Below are 19,632 nucleotides of genomic sequence, written 5' to 3'. Positions count from 1 at the left end.
TATATCAATTGATTACAAGATCATGCTTTGGGCTTGACTAATAATGAATAATGCCAAATGATCTAATTACAAAGCATAAGCCGTACCTTCATACTTGCCATAACTGCTTATGAAATCTGCTCTACATAGTTTCCTAACCTGAAAACATATTGCAGTGGATTGAATGGTGGCCTCCAAAAAGATATGTCCACATCCTAGTTCCCAGAAACTATGGATATTACCTTATTTGGAAAAAGGGTCTTTGCAGATGTAATTAAGTTAAGAATCTTCAGGTGAAGATATCATTCTGGAATATCCAAGTGGGCTCTAAGTCCATTGACAAGTGTCCTTACAAGAGAAAGGTGGAGGGAGATTTGAGATGGAAGAGGAGAAGGTAGTGTGATCATGGAGGCAGAGATTAGAGTGATTCATTGATCCACAAATCAATCAATGCTGACATCCACCAAAAGCTGGAAGAGGCAAAGAATGAATCGCCCTTAAAACCTACGGAGGGAGCACAGACTGGCTGATTTTTTACTTTTGGCCTTCATACTGTGAAAGAATAAATTCCTACTGTTTTAAGCTACCTCGTTTATGTTAATTTATTATAGCCCTAGGAAACTAATATACATGTTTACCAAACAGAAGAGTAACTTGAAGACTACAGACAAAGGTATACAAAAGCAGAGGCCAATGAAATGTGGTCCTTGTCTATGGCTTCAGAAATACTCAAACCTGGCCGGGTGCAGTGGCTCACGCCTGTAATCCCAGCACTTTGGGAGTCCGAGGTGGGTGGATCACGAGGTCAGGAGATCAAGACCATCCTGGCCAACATGGTGAAACCTCGTCTCTACTAAAAATACAAAAATTAGCCAGGTGTGGCGGTGCATGCCTGTAGTCCCAGCTACTTGGGAGGCTGAGGCAGGAGAATTGCTTGAACCCAGGAGGCGGAGGCTGCAGTGAGCCGAGATCGCGTCACTGCACTCCAGCCTGGGCGACAGAGCGAGACTCTGCCTCAAAAAAAAGAGAGAAATACTCAAACCTCCACGAAGGTGAAGTCTGGGAAACCACCAACCAATTCATACCTGTTTTTCTTAAGCAAATGAAAACTGAATCCAATGACTATTATAATTTTTCCTTCCCCTTTAGAGAAAAACAGGCATATGATAAGCCTGATTTCAATTTTACAAGCTAGCCAGATTAAAGAGCATCAGATCTAAGTTTTCTAGAGAAGCATTTTTACTTAAGGCAGAGTGTGAGAGGCTGCCTTATTTTGCTATGGAAGTCAATCTCAAGCATGAGACAGAACATAAAATGCTGAGTGGATGGGAATGTCAGTTCAGTACTCAGGCAGAAGATATCTGCAAAGTGATATAAAACATATTTACCAGACTGGTCTCATTAACCCGCTTTTGATAAGAAAAGGCATTTTTAAAGTTTTTGAACTGAAAACAAAATAACTATAGCAAATCCCGATTAGTGAGGAGAATTTTATATACAGAAGTGGCACACACATACATACATATTTGTATATATTTTCATAAAGAAACAATAAAAGAATAAACCAAAAACTTAACAAAAAAGGTTAACTCTGCAGAGTGAGGAGAAAACAGGGAGGGGAGAGAGACTTATAGAAAAGTTACCAAAATAGTTGAGCTGAATCTAGCTGGATCTCTCAATATATTTTGTTTTACAGTTTAAAGTCTGAAGCAGGCAAATACTTTATATAATTAAAAAATCTTAGGCCAGGCGTGGTGGCTCACACCTGTAATCCCAGCACTTTGGGAGGCCAAGGCGGGTGGATTACGAGGTCAGGAGATCGAGACCATCCTGGTTAACACGGTGAAACCACGTCTCTACTAAAAATACAAAAAATTAGCTGGGTGTGGTGGCGGGTGCCTGTAGACCCAGCTACTAGGGAGACTGAGGCAGGAGAATGGCATGAACCCAGGAGGCGGAGCTTGCAGTGAGCTGAGATCACACCACTGCACTCCAGCCTGGGCGACAGAGCAAGACTCCATCTCAAAAAAAAAAAAAAAAAATCTTAAAGGAATATGGGTCTGGGACAGACCACCTGGATTGGTATACTGATTTCACTACTGTAGCTTTCAGCAAGTTATCCAAATTCTGCGTCTCAACTTATCTATAAAATGGGGATAATAACACTCACCTCATAGGGGTTGTTGTAAAGATTAAATGGGTGAACTTGTATAAAGGACTTAGCACAGTATGGAGCTCACAGTAATTTCCAAATAAATGCTAGATGGTGTTATTTTATTATCATCACCATAGCATTCCTTCTAAAATCAGAAACAAGTATATAACTGAGTTCTTCTCTATAGTCCACAAAGTAATTGTTGATGGGGTAAGAGAGATATGAGTTCACAGCTCAGTTAAAATGTGCATGGTTTGGCTCCCAAAGACACAGTTCCCAAGCAAGAGCCCCATCAAGAACTTTAACTAACGTTCCAAAGGCCACAAGGTAATGTAGAAACTTCACAAAATAAAACACAGCCATTTGTTGCTAAATTAAAGATAATGAAGGAGGGATCTAGATGCTGACCCTGACCTTTCTAGGTAATGAAGTTGAGAAGTTTTACAAGTTCTTAATAGTGTGTCTATTTTATATGCACTGGTAGTTTTCCCAAAAGTTCCTGAAACAAAAAGGCTTTGTACTTACCAGATAACTGTTCATTTATGGTCAAAGAGGGGATTCACTGGCTAACATACAGTCCAGAAGCTATGCCAAGCCCAACACTGTGTGCACATCTGGCCTGTCAGATGCTTGCAGAAACAAAGGAGGCCTCACTATGAATTCAATTAGAACATCAATGCTTAACCTGCCAGAGCCACAAAATGAAAATGCCCTTTGCAGACAACTCTGGCTTTTATTGCTCTCATTAACATCTCTCAGTTGGCAGTTTTTTAAAGCACAGCTCCTCTGAACATTTGTGTGACATTTTTCATAGGAAAAGTCAAAACATTAACTTCCTGTATGACACAAAGAGTAACACTGTCTGGTCCGTGTGAATAAAGCAGAGAGATTGAACAATTTTGATTCAGTCACTGAAATCTGAAGCTACACATAACTGACCACAAACTAACATGTCACCCCAAAAGCATAAAACAGCTACAAACTGGTAATTATATTTAAGCAAAAGGAATTAATTATAATTATACAATCTTTAGGCAAAAAAAGTTGTCAGGTTATCCAGAAAATCAATAGCAGAGAAAACTTAGCAAAGAACACTGTGCCTAAAACCCTTAAAAACTCTGTTCTTGTTTTGTCAAGACATTGCATCCCACATTGATTTTTTTCAATGAATCAAAAAGCTTATGTAATTTCTAAATTTGAAACTTTAAAACCCATGGAAATATTTTTCAAATAGTTTAAAATAACTCTCAGGTTTCTTATAAAGAATAAACAGAACGTTTTGATGGCTATGGGCTAACACCAACTGCAACATCAATTACCATAAAGCAATGTACCTTTGGGTTGCTTAAGTTGGATTATTCCCTTTCCCCCATATCAAACAGAGGTATAACGGAGAAGGGGGAGCAACAAAGTCTGATTTAGAGATCTGAGCAATTTCAGCACAAGAAATAACATTTGAAGGCTGCTTTGCAAATTATTCTCCCTTCCCTCAATGTCCCTTTTTGTGTAATAAGTATGCACTTGTAGCTCAGTGCTTTTTATCTGCTGTAGGTCAGAAAACCAAGTAATTAAGCTTGTTAGAAATATAGGTACAATGATGTAAACAGGCTTTACTAGAGAGTATGTAGTGCTCTCCACTGAATTAAAATATATGAGCTTTCATTCTGTTGCTATGAAAGTCTTGGATAATAATGAGACTCCAGGCCTACAGATGATATGCAGTCAATGTTTTAAGATAGGTTGATATGTTTTACACACCAGACTAGTAGTCAAAAATATCCTAGCTTTTGATAAAGAATGGAAGACTTTTTAATAGTCTCCCAAAGTGCTGGGATTATAGGCATGAGCCACAGCACCCAGCCAGTTACTATGTACTTTTTCTAGGGATTAAAAACAACAACAACAACTTTACGAGTATGGGCCCTTTTAAGAATCAGATAAGGCTACTATCTCAGAAAAAAAAATTAACAAAGAACATACCCTTAAAAATCTGTATACAATTTCCAGAAGGTACACAAAGCCCCTGAACCATACAGGGGATTCACATATCCCTAGGAAACTCTTCTCTACAGGATAAATTAGAGGGAGATTTGCACAAGAATCTCACTGATACACTAAATATCAAAGAAAAATATGTATCTTTTAATGCAGCCAATTAATCCTCTGCAAAAGGGGTAATTTATATTGCATGTCAGTGACTAATTCCCAGTAAAATCATAAGGCTCAAGAATTCTGGTTTTGTCTCAGACCTGTAGTCAGAAAACAAAAAACAAAACAAAACAACCTCCCGTTTTTATAAGAAGCAAATGGCAGGACAGGCAGCAAATTAACAAATTTTCATGAACCCATCAGAGAAGTGAATCACAGCACAAATACCCAATTCAGAGAGACAGGTGCCTGCAGGGAGACACAGGGCAGAGCATTTGGTTACCTGTGGCAGAAGCCACAGCAGGAACATTAAACTAGAAATTTTGAATCGCTGGATGCTGCGTGGGGACTGATATGAGAATATGAAGTTCTTGGGGGCTGTAGTTATGGGGGGGGGGGTCCCACCCGCTTGCAAGCTTTTTCTTCAGGAACCCAATTAGGCTCACACAGGGAAGCTGGGGTGGGGGCAGGGCCGGGGCAGGGGGCGGTACCTGGAGAAAGCACCAGAGTGGTGCTGTCTGGGTACTTGGTGCTTAGTGCCCTGGTTCCCTTACCAAACAAAAGGCTTCATCTGCAGGGGAAGGGTATCAAGTCAGGACAATGGTGTAGTTTCATTACTGCTGGGAGAAGGGAAAAGCATCCAGCCTCAGCCTCCCTGTGTTACCTAACGGGCAAAAAGGTAATCTACAGGAGAGAGAACCTCAAGGACAAAGGCTGAGAACATCAGAAGATACCTGCTACAGGCCAATGAGGGAACAGGGGGCAGTGGCAAAAAGGCTCTACCTGAAGACTACCTTCCCTACCACCACTTCCACCCCCAGAAACAGGACCACTATGCACCCTAAAGACTAAGAAAGAGTTAATGAGAAGATTAGCGAATACTGCCCCTCCCCCATACCCTCTACTACGCTAAAGACTCCAGGGATAATAACACTGGCTAACAGCTTGGGAGAGCTGCAAGAAACAAAATTCCTATGAGGACAAGCACAAAGAGACCTTGAGCCAAGAGGAGAGACAAAAACAGTGTCACTAGAAGAATTTGAAGTCTCTGTTACAGCAATAACAAATTTCTAACACTCTCATATATTGCTGGTGTGACTGAAAAATGATGAGCCCCTTTGGAAAACAGACTCGTAGTTCTTTAAGTAGTTAAATGGTTAAGTAGAGTTACTATATGACCCAACAATTCCACTCCTATGTGTATAGTCAAGACAACTGAAAACGTACGTCAACATAAAAACTTGTACCTGAATGTTCATAGCAGAATTACTCATAATACTCCAAAAGTGGAAACAACCCAAATGTCCACCAACTGATGAACGGATAAACAAAATGTGGTGTACTGATAAAATGTAATATCATTCAGTCATAAAAAGAAATGAAGTGGCCAGGTGCAGTGACTCACACCTGTAATCCCAGCACTTTGGGAGGCTGAGGTGGGTGGATCACCTGAGGTCGGGAGTTCAAGACCAGCCTGACCAACATGGAGAAACTCCGTCTCTATTAAAAATACAAAATTAGCCAGGCATGGTGGTGCATGCCTGTAATCCCAGCTACTCAGGAGGCTGAGACAGGAGAATCGCTTGAACGTAGGAGGCGGAGGTTGCAGTGAGCCGAGATTGCGCCATTGCACTCCAGCCTGGGCAACAAGAGTGAAACTCTGCCAAAAGAAAGAAAGAAAGTGGGGGGGGGGGGGGAGGGAGGGAGTGAGGGAGGGAGGGAGGGAAGGAAGGAAAGAAGGAAGGAAGGAACTAATACATGTTACAACATGAGAGGTGAAAACACTATGTTCAGTGAAAGAAGCCAGACACAAAGGGCACGTATTGTATGATTCCATTTATATGAAATGTCTAGAATAGGCAAATCCATAGAGAAGGAAGGTAAATTAGTGGTTGCCAGGGGTTGCAGGTAGGGAGATTGGGGAGTAACTGCTAATGGGTAAGGGGTTTCTTTCTGAGATGATGAAAATGTTCTAAATTATGATTGTAATGGTTACACAACTCTGAACATACTAAAACCCACTGAATTATACACTTAAAATGGGTGAATTGTATGCTACAAGAATTATATTTCAAGAAAAGATGTTAAAAATGGTTTTTAAAAGAGGGTGATTATTGGGGTGTCAATGTACACCACATGAGAGGTCTTGATGTTCACTCTCTCCCAGCAATAATGAGGCACCTCTCCTCCTCAATGTGATGTTGGCAGACTGGGTAGGGAGCCTGGGCTGTCACCATCACTGATCAATAAGGTGGTACCTTCACTACCACCATACCCTCCATCATCAGTGGGGGCAACAAAGTGGTGGGAATTTCCACCTCTATGAAGCAGTAGAGACTCCCCAGTGCTGCTTCCCAGAGAGTGAAAGAGCTAGGATGGGGAGCTCAGGAATTCTACAACAGGTAGTAGAGAGTCAGGACCCCTCTTCCCCACTTGCCTGGTTATAGCAGAGGACTACTAAAACAGAAGATTTAAATAAGACTCAGTGTCTAATGACATAATACTAAAAAAGTCCAGGATACAACTGAAAATCACTCATCATACTAAGAACTGGGAACGAGAAGAGACAATCAACAGGCATCAACACTGAGATCCACAGATGTTAGAATTATCTGACAAGGATTTTAAAACATCCATGATAAAAATGTTTCAACAAGAAATTACAAACACTTTTGAAACAAAAAACAGAAAGTCTCAGTGAAGAAATGGAATATATATATAAAGAATAACCAAATGGAAATTTTAGGATGGAATAATGCAATTACTGAAATAACAAACTCATAAGATAGGCTCAACTAATGAATGGAATTAACAAACAGAAGATGGAACCAATGAACAAGAGAAATTATTCAATCTGTTCAACAGAATATACACTGAAAAAAAAAAGAAAAGTGCCTGAGGGACCTGTGGGAAAATAACAAAAGATCTACCATTCATGCAACTGAAGCCCCAAAAGGAGGGGAAAAAGAAGGTGGAGTTGAAAAATATTTGAAGAAATAATGGCTGAAAATTTCCCAAACTTAGTGGAAGATATAAATCTACAGATTCAAGAAGCTGACTAAAGCCCAAAGAGGATAAGCCAAAAGAAATCCATGCCCAGGTACATCATAATCTAACTTTTAAAAACTAAAGACAAAGAAAAATCTCAAAAACAACTGGGAAAGAAATGACTACCTAGAGGAGAACAACCTATTTGAATGGGGGCAGATTTCTCATCAGAGACCATGGAGGCCAGAAGGAAGTAGCACAACATTTTCCAAGTGCTGAAAGAAAAGTACTGTGAAACCAGAATTCTATATCAAGTGAAAATATCCTTCAGGAATGAAGGAGAAATCAAGACATCCTCAAATGAAGGAAAACTAAGCGAATTTATCACCAGCAGACCTATCCTAAAATAACAGCTAAAGGAAATTCTTCAAACAGAAACAAATGAACAAAAAAGAAAAATGGGAACATCAGAAATAAAGAAGCATACAAATATGTCATATTTCTTAAGTGAACCTTAAAACAACTGTTTGAAGCAAACAGGTGCAGCAAGTAAGGCCAGGAAAATCAGAAATTGAGAGAAAAGTGATAGTCTGCTATCAGAAATAGGGCATAAACTGACGCTTTGAAAAAAGCAGCCAATGGCGGCAGGGCGCAGTGGCTCACGTCTGTAATCCCAGCACTTTGGGAGGCCAAGGTGGGTGGATCACGAGGTCAGGAGTTCAAGAACAGCCTGACCAAGATGGTAAAACCCTGTCTCTACTAAAAACACAAAAATTACCCAGGCACGGTGGCAGGCACCTGTACTCCCAGCTACTTGGGAGGCTGAGGCAGGAAAATCGCTTGAACCTGGGAGGCGGAGGTTGCAGTGAGCTGAGATCGCACCACTGCACTCTAGCCTGAGCGACAGAGCGAGACTCCGTCTCAAAATAAGTAAATAAATAAAAAGCAGCCAATGGCAATATTGCTTCAGTTTCAGGGGCCAAATAGGAAGAAAGAATTCACAGTGGTTCCATCTGATTCCTCAAAGGCTGCCTTCAGACTCACCTGTGAGTAGTGTGTGCTTGTCACCTTTGCCAATTCCCACTTAACTTTTACTTTTCTTCTTTTACCAAGGGTTCCTACCATATTCTCCTTGCTGCCTGGGTTCCCAGCCCCTGTTCAATTCCAGGTTTGTTCTCTCTAATCTTGAGTTTTGCTCTCACTCCATTATGGAAACTTTGATTATAACTACTCATGAGAAAACACTGGTGCTGTCCCATATTTCTTAACTGCCAAAGTTTCAACAAATGTTTACTATATACTTATTGTACCCTACATAATATGTCCAATGCATACTGGTTAATAAAACAAGATTCAGGATGAATAAAAACTTGAATGTCAGTTCTGCTTTTTTTTAATGACCCTGGGCAAGTAACTTCTCTGAGCCTCATCACCTGCAAAACAAACAAACAAAAAACCGGAAAGTACCTACTTTATAGTGTTACTGGAGGAATAGAACAAGAGTATATTACTTCCCCGACGTGCTTGATTATAAAAATCACCTGAGTCACTTTTTAAAATCCAGATCCCAGGCACTTTTCTTGGAAATACTAATTCAGTAGTGTCACAGGGTGGGGTAAGTCTGGAATCATTATTTTAAACAGGCATCCAAGGAGAGTCTCATAATTGTTTAAATTTGGGAAACAAACTATTTAATGTAAAGCTTTTGGCACATAAAACTTCAATAAATGATAGGTATGAGAGATAGGTATGATAATGTCCATGTTATGCTGACAAATTATCTCAGAGAGATGAAATAAGCCAGCAAAGCAGAACATGGGATCAAGCTCTTCTAATGCAAAGGCTAGTTTTGTCCTACAATATCACCAGGTTTTCCTTTTTATAACAGAATATTAAATATAAACGAAAACAATTTGCTTTCAGCAGCCCAGGTCCCCTATCCCTTGCAACAAAAAAGACTACTATTACCACTGCCTGGGAGGCAGTAGGCCTCAAAACCCAAAGCCCTTGAATTGCCTTATGTCCTAGAACCAGCTGTCGTCCTAAAAGGGTAGGTAGCGAGGTTTCTTTCTCACCATTCTGTAGTCAAAGTCTCCTCTAGACAGGTGGGAAATTTCTTCCACTCCTGTTTATGTGTGTTATATTCCCTAAGTCTTTCTGTATGACATGGACATATATAAATAAACTCTTACATTCTATTGTGCCCAGAAAAATCCCTGGCAAAAGAAACAAATGAAAAGTGACCTCCAAGGAAGAGAGAAATGCTCTCTGGTGGACACACCCAAAAGTAACCCACAAAGAGTCACTCCCTTTCTACTAAGGCAGTGGGACCTGTGACTTGCTTCTAAACAACAGAATATGGCAAACATGATGGGATGTCATTCCTTTGATTAGGTCACATTATATAGCAAATGTGGTGGGGATGCCACTCCCATGATTATATTATGTTATGTAACACTACATCTTAGCTGACTGGAGGGAAAGACTCTCCTTGCTGGCGCTGAATAAGTACGCTACCATGTTGTGAGAGGATCTATGGAAAAGGCCATGTGGCAAGAAACTACAAGTGGCTTTTAGAAACTGAGAGTGCTCTCTGCCAAAAGCAAGAAGGAAAACAGAAACCTCAGTCCTTCAGCTCCAAGGAGACAAATTCTGCCTACAACATGAGCTTGGTGGCAAATTCTTCCCTAGGCAAGCCTCCAGGTGAGAACACATCCCATTTTCCACAGTGATTTCAGCCCTGAAAGATCCTGAACAAAGAATCTAGTCACATCATGCCCAGATTACTGACCCACAGAAACTGAGATATAAGTGTGTGCTGCTTTAAGACACGAATTTTGTGATAATTTGTAATGTAGCAATACATAACTAATATATTCTCTGTTCCTTTACAGCTAAGGAAGTCTACTCATAGTAGAAGTGAAGATATACAAAGTCATTTTATCATTTAATTATCACAGAGGAAAGTCTGTAGGATCCACTAAACCATTATCAAGTCCAAGAGGAACGCTGGCACTTTGCTGCCCTTTGTGGAAAAGATGACCAGCCTGATAAGGATTGACCTACTCTTTCTGGGCCAGCAGTGATCCAAAGGCTGTAAGGACCCATCACAGCTTCACAGACCATGACCCATATGATCTTTAATGTAGTCCATCTACAACCTACTCACCTATACCTTTCTGTACTATCTCTCCTCACCTGCTAACTTAGCTTTTCCCAATCATAGGCCAGGAGATCTCTAGGTCCTTCCCAGTTCCCCTAGTCTGGCTCTCTTTGACTTCCTGGTTAGGGGAGGAATATTCTAAAGCCAGGCACTATGTGTCATCACAGTGTGAAGATGATTGAAATCACAAAATGAAATCACAGTGTGAAGATTATTGTTCTCCTAAAGGAGATAGAAAATGAAATCTTTCTTGGAAAACAAATAAGTTCATCAGAAAACAAGCCTACCCACTGACACATTCTTTATTCTTCACATCTTCAGATTCTGGGTATTGTTGGTATATAGTTAGGAGGCAGACATTTATATTTTTAAAAGTTGTCTTAGTTTATTTAGTATTGCTATAAAGGAATACCTGAGGCTAAGTATTTATAAAGAAAAGAGGTTTATTTAGCTTATGGTTCTGCTGGCTGGAAGGTTCAAGACTGGGCAGCTGGTAAGGGCCTCAGGCTGCTTCTACTCATGGTGGAAGGCAAAGGAGAGCTAGCATATGTGATCACATGGCCAGAGACGAAGCAAGAGAGAATGGGAGGAGGTGCCAGACTCTTTGTAACAACCAGCTCTGAAGGGAACTAACGGAGTGAAAAACTCACTTACCCCCCTGCTCTGGGAGGGCATTAATCTATTTATGAGGGATATATTCCCATGATCCAAACATCTCCCATTAGGCCTGCACCTCCAACATTGGGATATAATTTCAACATGAGGTTTTGGAAGACAAGCATCCAAACTATAGCTTAAGTCTAAAAATTGAGAATACGATCTCACCTCAGCAGGTTTCTTGTGTTCATTTGGAATTTTTGACTTGATCCTATACATTGAGCCAGAAGTAAAGGAAGTGGAAGGACCTGTGAAAGATAATTAGAAAAAAATACTGAGACACATTACCTATTAATATAACTAAATGTCATAAAACTAAATGTCACCCAAGAGAATATGAAAAATATGATGGAGAAACCAGAGAGCTCATACCACTGAAGAAAACAGTCAAACTGCACTGAAGAGTGCCTCATAATGGAGTTTAGTGACATTTATAGATGATCTCCTACAGTGCAAAAGCTTCAACAATGCTAAGGATGAGATTATCTGATTTGGTATAATCACACCTCATAATGTTCTGCAATAACACAATTCATATTCCACTTGAAGAAAAAGTATCTCCAAAAACAACTGGAAAAACTACAAATGTGGAGCAAGTAATCTGTGTATCCTTCAGCACTTCCCCAAAGGCTATTGCTAATAAGGTTACTGCCTTTTACAAATGATGATTGACTCACAGTCAAACACTTAGTACCTAAGCTACAATTAGAATCAGGGCCTACAATTTATGCTCTTGTACTTTTCTTCTTTCTAGAGAAGCTCTGTTAAAGCATTACTAGATCTGGCTTTTGTTATTTAGGTAAATGAAAAGTGAAAAGTTATATGCCACACACAATCAATTCTTCTAATTTATCTATCTCTAATGAAATTTAAATAAGATAATGGTGCCCTGAATTTTCCTTCTCAGAAACATTTTTCAACCATTGAAAAAAGCATGAAATGGTTTATCCTCAAATGAAAGGAAAAATCCTCAAGGGATATAGATAGAAAGGTTACCAGCTGCCAGCCGGTTCTACTCACTTTCGTCTGAACTGTCACTGCTGCTGACAGGCCTATGGCGTTTCATCCTGGAGCATCCTGGGAAAAAGAAAAACACTGAATAAAACAGTTCACACACACCCATCCCAGAGGGCAGTCAACACTGTCCCATGGATCCCAGAAATAGCAGCAAGCAAATCATACAAACTGAATGATTTTTGTCAAGAATATTCTCAAATGACTTAGAATAATGACAGAAGAGTACTACCAGATCTTTCAATACAAAGCATGTCAAAGACTAAGAAAGGCCACATTAGCCTTAGGAGGAAGCCCAAGCCACAAATGAGTGGTACAGCACTAACTGGAGCCTCAGATGTGGCCACATGGCCACTGTCCACCAAAACAAAGGGTGGGGCAGCCATGGGGCCATAACCAGCCAGTGATCCCCAATAAGAGACGAACAGGTCAGTCATGAGGGCAGGGCCATCAAGAGCCAAGGTTGAAAAGCATGAGACATAGTTGGCTGAAGAAAGAACAAGTGAGGCACATCCACCTTTAAGAACACGACCACACTGATTTTCTGCCTGCCCTTTATCCCTCTCTCACTCTCTTCCTGTCCCCATATCCCAAATAAGTAGCCTAAAGTCAAAATTATATATACACTACAAGGAATGTTAAACAAAGCTCCTATATTGTGAAGGGTAAATAAAAATGCTTTGGACTAAAACTTCCAACGGTTCAAGTGTACTTCCCTGAGTATGGCCAATGACAGATAAAAAAGAAGCATCACCCTTCTGGGAACACACTAGCACTGGAGTGTAAGAAAAAAGGAAGACACAGTTAAGCACTTTAAGTCACAAACGAAGTGCTGAAAATGTAAACTTGAAAAGACAGCAATATAGCCAGTGACTGACATTCTTTTATGTGCCACAACATACAACATGCTACCAGGGGCTATCATGATTCCATAATGAATAAAGGTCAGGGCTACTGCCTTCAAGCTATTTACAATCTACTGAGGAGGTAGAAATCCAAATACAAGGCCACTCTGAGCAATTAAGAATAGCAGCAACAAAATTTTACATTAAAAAGCTCACAGAGTTCCACTTCTGGCATAACAGTGTGAGCAGCTCCATGGACGACCCTCTTCCCAGCAAAATTGGTGAAAGTTATTTCAATTAAAAAAAAACCAACCATTTAAAGTCTCTGGAAATGGTTTTAAGGGCATACAGCAAATGAAGTACTTATTCGAGAAAATCTACTAAAATTCATAAAGTAAAGTCAAAGTCTGCAGTATTTGGATCTAGAACCACTTCCTCCATCTTCCCTCCCAGCAAAGATCTCATGCCAGAGTACAGTAGCCAAGAACACAGGGTTCCTTCTACCCCAGCTCCAAGCTCCTTTCTTCCTGGGAAGAACAGGATGTCGGCATCTCTTATCCCGTTCCCAGCTACTTTTGCTGAGGCTACGTTCCAGGAGAATGTGGCTGAGAGGTGGGGGCTCCCTTCTTCCACCTAGCCCCCAACTCATGGGATGGAGGCTATGCCTTGGGTGTTGTGCCACCAAGAATACCAGAGCCTTGATTGCTCTGGCGTTACCTTGTGGGGTGGGGGTTCTATACCAGAAGAGGCAAACCTGGGAGACCTGGGGCTGACACTCAGAGGGAAGCTCACCATTTATCTCCATCCACTGCGCCAGAGCTGTGGCTCAAAGATTTTTCCCAGGGAGAGAGGCAGGGCATAGAATAGGGGGCTTCAATTCTCCTGCAATGAAACTGACTTCATTTGCAACTGAGTGTACAGAAGTTCAAGCCTAGGCTGCCTAATATGCCAGAGAGAACCAGAGAAAGAGACAGCAGGGAAAGAGCCTCTTGCGGTCAGAAGAAATCTCAAACACAGATCTCAGGAACTATCTTCAAAGGAGCCCTAATTTGATTGGATCAGTTTGTGGAGCAATTTATATTCCAGGACATGATTAAAACAACAGAGCAGCTGGGAATGGTGGCAGGCGCCTGTAATCTCAGCTACTCGGGAGGCTGAGTCAGGAGAACTGCTTGAACCCGGGAGGTGGAGGTTGCAGTGAGCTGAGATCGCGCCACTGCACTCCAGCCTGGGCGACAAGAGTGAAACTCCATCTCAAAAAAACAAAAACAAAACAAGAGCAACCAGTCAACAATTAGTAGACCATAACAGCATGGTGTGGTCAAGTAAAGAGACAGCCAAGGAGAGCCTCACCAAACCCACTGTCATCCCAGGGTGACTGTGGGCATACACAAGCTTGTACCCCCGAAGAGCAACATTAGAGGCTTCATACTGCAGGGTGAGAATGGGGGTTGAGGAAATAGACTTCAATAAAATAATCCAGGCAGTTACTAAAGCAGTAAACAAGCAAATAATAATAAAGAACCCTGGTGGAGGGGTAGTACCCACAATTGTTACAATATATTATCCAAAATGCCCAGTTTCCAACAAAAACTTAAGAGATATGCAAAGAAACAGGAAAGTATGACCCATACAACCACATGTCAGATTTAACAGGCAAAACCTTCAAATTAGCCATATAAATATGTTCGAAGAACTAAAGAAAACCATGATTAAAGAAGTAAAGGAAGGTATGATGACAATATTTTACAAAACAGAGACTATCAATAAAGAAATAGGAAGTATAAAAAATAACCAAATAGAAATTCTGGTGATGAAAGCACAATTGAAATGAAAAATTCACTGAAGGGCCTCAACAGTAGATTGAACAAGCAGAAAAAAGAATTAATGAACTTGAAGTAGGTCAACAGTGATTAGGCAAGTTGAAGAACAGATGGAAAAAAGAAGAAGAAACAGCCTCAGAGAAATGTAGAACATCATTAAGTTCATCAACATATACATAATGGGAGTACCAAAAGGAAAAGTGAATGAGAAAGGAGCAGAAAAAATATTAGAAAAACTCCCCAAATTTACTGAAAAACATTAATTTACATATTCAGGAAACTCAAAGAACTCCAAGTAGGATAAATGCAAAGAGATCCAGAAAGAGATTCCTCATAGTAAAATTACTGAAAGCCAAAGACAAGGAGAAAATCTTGAAAGCAGCCCGGGAAAAAAAACAACTCATCACTTACAAGAGAACTCCAATAAAATTAACAGCTAATTTCTCAGAAACAAAATTAGAAGACAGTGTGAAAACATATTGTGTCCTTTGGTGATTGGTTGCACATATCTGTGAATATATTAAAATAACTGAATTGTATACTTTAAGTGGGTAAGCTGCATGGTATACAAATTATATCTCAAAGCTGTCATTTAAAAAACTAATAAAATTAGTACAAGAATCAGAACCATTAACTAAGGTTCTGTTTGTCCTACAGTCAAAGTCAATTGAATATTTTTAAAAAAGAGCCTCCCATCACATAAATTTTTGGGGCTACATTTGGCTCTCTGGTGCAAAATTTCATTCAAATCTCTTCTGAAACGCAAACAAAACCAACAGTAACAACAAGACACTTCCTATTAAAAAGTAGTAGTGGGGAATTTAAAGTCACAATGAATGTAGAAATTTAAGCAGAAATAAAAGTAATACATTTTCTAACTATTCCCCACTGAATGCACAGATCTACTTAGAGTAGCACTTCATTTATCTGATATCATGGGGATGTTGCATATATAAAAATTGTTCAGATACACAGTATACCCAAATGTATAAAATCCTATTTTAATAGAAGCTTTTCTAAAACACCTATTAGTTTTCTAACGTTACAGTAACAAATTATCACAAACTCAGTGGCTTAAAACTACATAAATTTACTATCTTATAGTTTAGTGGGTCAGGATTTTGACACAGGTCTCACAGAGCTAAAATCAAGATGTCATCAGGACTGCGTTCCTTTCTAGAGGCTACAGGGGAGAACTCATTTCCTTGCCTATTACAGCTTTTAGAGGACACTCTTACTCCCTTGATCTTGGCTGTCTTCTTCCATCTTCAAGGCAAACAACACTGAATCTCTCTGATCCTGTTTCTGTCATCGCATCTCATTCTCTGACCCTTCTGTTCTGCTTCCCTCTTCCACTTTTAAGAACCCATGTAATTACATTGGACCCACCCAGATAATCCAGGATAATGTCCCTATTTTATAGTCAGCTAAATAGCAATCTTAACATATTCATAGGTTGCAGAGATTAGGACACGGACATCTCTGCCTACCACAACCTAATATACAAAATGTAACTCAAAATGGATCACAGACTTAAATGAAAAATGTAAAATTATAAAATATTTACAAAAAGCATAAGAGAAAGTCTTCAGGATCTAGGGCTAAGCAAAGAGTTCTCAGACTTGATACCTAAAGCATGATTGGCAAAGAAAAATGTGTTTTCATCAAAATTAAAGACTTTTGCTCTCAGAAGCATATCCAGGGCAACTTGAATCTATGCTGCTGGGTTGTGGTCTTCAAACTTGGCCCAAATAAACTATCTACTTATATTTTTAAAAAAACTTCTGCTCTGAGAAAGCCCCTGTTAAGAAGACGCAAAAGCAAGCAGAATGGGACAGAATATTTACACATATTACACACACGTGTAATATCAAATGCTGGAGAAGATGTGAAGAAACTATCACTCATACATTGCTGGTGGGAATGTAAAAAGGAATCGCTATTCTAGAAAATATTTTGGTCATTTCTTAGAAATATTATACATGTAATATTTATTATAAAACACATATCTGACAATGAACTTATATTACAGAATGCATAAGGAACTCTAAAAATTCAACAGTAAGGAAACAAATGACCTAATTAAAAATCAAGAGATGGGCCGGGCATGGTGGCTCGCACCTGTAATCCCAGCACTTTGGGAGGCTAAGGCGGACGGATCATTTGAGGTCAGGAGTTCGAGACCAGCCTGGCCAACATGGTGAAACCCCGTCTGTACTAAAAATACAAAAATTAGCTGGGTGTGGTGGCATGCACCTGTAATCCCAGCTACTCGGGAGGCTGAGGCATGAGAATTGCTTGAACCTGGGAGGCGGAGGTTGCAGTGAGCCTAGATTGCATCACTGTACTCCAGCCTGGGTGACAGCGAGACTCTGTCTCAAAAAAAAAAAAAAAAAAAAAAAAAATCAGCAGACATTTTACCAAAGAGGAACGCAAATGGCATTTAAGCCCGTGAAAAGACATTCAGTATCACCAGCCATTAGGGAAATGCCAGTTAAAACCACAAGATATTATTACATACTTATTATTACAATAGCTGAAATAAAGAAATAGTGAAAATATCAAATCATGGAGAAAGTGTAGAGAAACTATATCACTCGTACATGGCTTGTGGGAATGTAAAATAGTATAGCTATTCTAGAAAATATTTCGGTCATTTCTTTAAAAATTAAATATGCAACTATGACTCAGCAATTGCACTCCTGGGCATTTATCCCAGAGAAATGAAAGTTTATGTTCCCACTGAATATAACCTCCATATGGATGACTCATGATGGGATCAAGGGCAACAAATGTCATAGAAAAAACAGTTTTATTCTCTAAAAATCTCAGTGAAGAAAGCCAACTGACCATGGACCCTCTCTCCTCACCTCCCTGAGAGTTTCAGAAGACCTAAGACTTCTTGTGAGATGGATACTCCTCTCATCTGAAGTTCTGGGTATGTGTACTTTGGATAAAACAGTTTCTCCATTTTCTATAATATTCTGTTCTTTAAGTAAAAGAGTTATCAAACTGTTCTTGACAGAGGGAGATTTTAAAGAATAGGCAAAATTTGGCATTTTTAAAACAATTACAGTAACAACTATTTTTTATTATAGATGGAAACAAAAAATCTTGTATTATCAGTAAAAAGCCTAGGAAACAGATTATCTAATACGAGTTACACCAGTCCTGGGAAATAAGAAAATGAGTCATCAATGACTTTTAGAAAAGAAAACAAAGCAAGTTAATTTTTGGGTATGGGCTGTTTAAAGTCCAGTGATTTGTCTGTCCATTTCTGTGACATACTGCTGTTTTAATTATTGTAGGAAAATGACAGAAAACAATAAATATCAGCAGAATAATTCAATGATGGTAAATCTTTATATCTCTATTTATTATTTCTAAGCACAACAACAGTCCTACACATAGCAGCAGCAGCCATTTTACAGATGAGGAAATTGGGGCTCAGAAGCATTAAAGCGACATGCTTAGAGCAACATGGCCACCAGGGGGCAGTCAGGTACATTGACAATGAGCACTCCAAGTTGATCCAGAAGCCAGAGGACAGGCTGGAGGGATGACAGCAAGAATGGTGCCCCTTCTAAGCCCAATCTCCTCAGCATGGCTTGCGAGGCCCAGTTCTGGCTCCCAGTCTCTCAGGCCTCATCAACTGCTGTTCCCCCCAATCCACTCCAATTGTTTGGCATATACTATGCCCCATGTGATTCCGGGAACACGTTCGTCTTGTTTCATACTTGCTTGCCAGCCTTTGCACAGGGCTCTTCCTTCTACCTACAATTCCTCCCCATGTTTTCCTTGACCAGCCCATTTTCCCCAACCCTGGTTCTATTCATTCATTGGATGTCCTCGATGAAGCTTCCCAGACGTCCCTCCCCCACAATTATTCACTCCTTTGCTTTCCATCCAAGTACATGCAAAGAAGCACCTCACTTGCACCATCAATATTCTTTACATCAAGCTTGTCCAACCCGCAGCCTGCATGTGGCACAGGACGGCTGTGAATGCCACCAAACACACATTCATAAACTTTCTTTAAACACTGAGATTTTTTTTGTGATTCTTTAAAGCTCATCAGCTATCGTTAGGTGTTAGTGCATTTTATGTGTGACCCAAGAGAATTCTTCCAATGTGGCCTAGGGCAGCCAAAAGATTGGACACTGCTGCTTTACATGGTCAGCCCTGTTGTCACTAGACCACAAGCATCTTGAAAGCAGGGACTGTGTCACATTCATTTTTTACCCCTAGCTCTTAGCACAGTATCCTGCACAAAATAAACAGGCAAAGGAATAACACACTGTGCTGCCCCCACCCAATCCTGTTTACCTAGCTAGCATACTGTACCCATTTTCCAGCTACTTCTTGTTGGCTGCTAATGGCTCACAATGGCCCCTCTCTTCCCAAGAACTGGGGATTACACTCTTCCAGTCTCCCTCCCAGAGGCAGCCTGCAGTCAATAATTGTTCTGCCATCACCTCAAACAGGCTATGGCTAGATTTTCTTAAGACCCTAACTGGCTGCTCCTTCCTTACCCGGTTACCCTCTTCCCCTTACAGGTTTCTCCTGAGAACACTCCTCAATAAATCATGTGCATTTGAATACTGTCTCAGGTTCTGCTTCTAGGCACCCCTACTTAACATGTGAATCCTTATTAAGTGGTAATTTTAAGAATGTACTACTTAATTTAAGGTAAGTCCTAGAGATCTTTTGTACAGCAGAGTGCTATAGTTAACAATACTATATTGTATACCTAAAAGTTTGCTAACAGGATAGGCCTTTATATTGTGTTCTTACCACGACAGAAGAATAGAGCAAAGGGAAACTTTTGGGGGTGATAGATAGGTTTATGGCATAGATTGT

At 40.1% G+C, this 19,632-nt stretch overlaps 1 protein-coding gene across 2 annotated transcripts in view; it reads right to left on the bottom strand.

Moving 5' to 3' along the window:
- JADE3 (jade family PHD finger 3) overlaps positions 1-19,632 on the bottom strand; it is a 148,942-nt gene that overhangs the window by 64,192 nt on the left and 65,118 nt on the right. For both annotated transcript variants that reach the window (NM_001077445.3, NM_014735.5), the window contains exons 2-3: positions 12,111-12,167; positions 11,259-11,338 (exon numbers count right to left, since the gene is read on the bottom strand). In NM_001077445.3, the coding sequence (NP_001070913.1) occupies positions 11,259-11,338; positions 12,111-12,156 (126 nt within the window). In that variant the 5' untranslated portion in view covers positions 12,157-12,167. The remainder of the gene's footprint in view (positions 1-11,258; positions 11,339-12,110; positions 12,168-19,632) is intronic.

This window comes from Homo sapiens, chromosome X (genome assembly GCF_000001405.40).
Source record: "Homo sapiens chromosome X, GRCh38.p14 Primary Assembly".
In the NCBI taxonomy this organism is placed as follows: Eukaryota; Metazoa; Chordata; class Mammalia; order Primates; family Hominidae; genus Homo; species Homo sapiens.
This window is presented reverse-complemented; position numbering and strand designations above follow the sequence as displayed.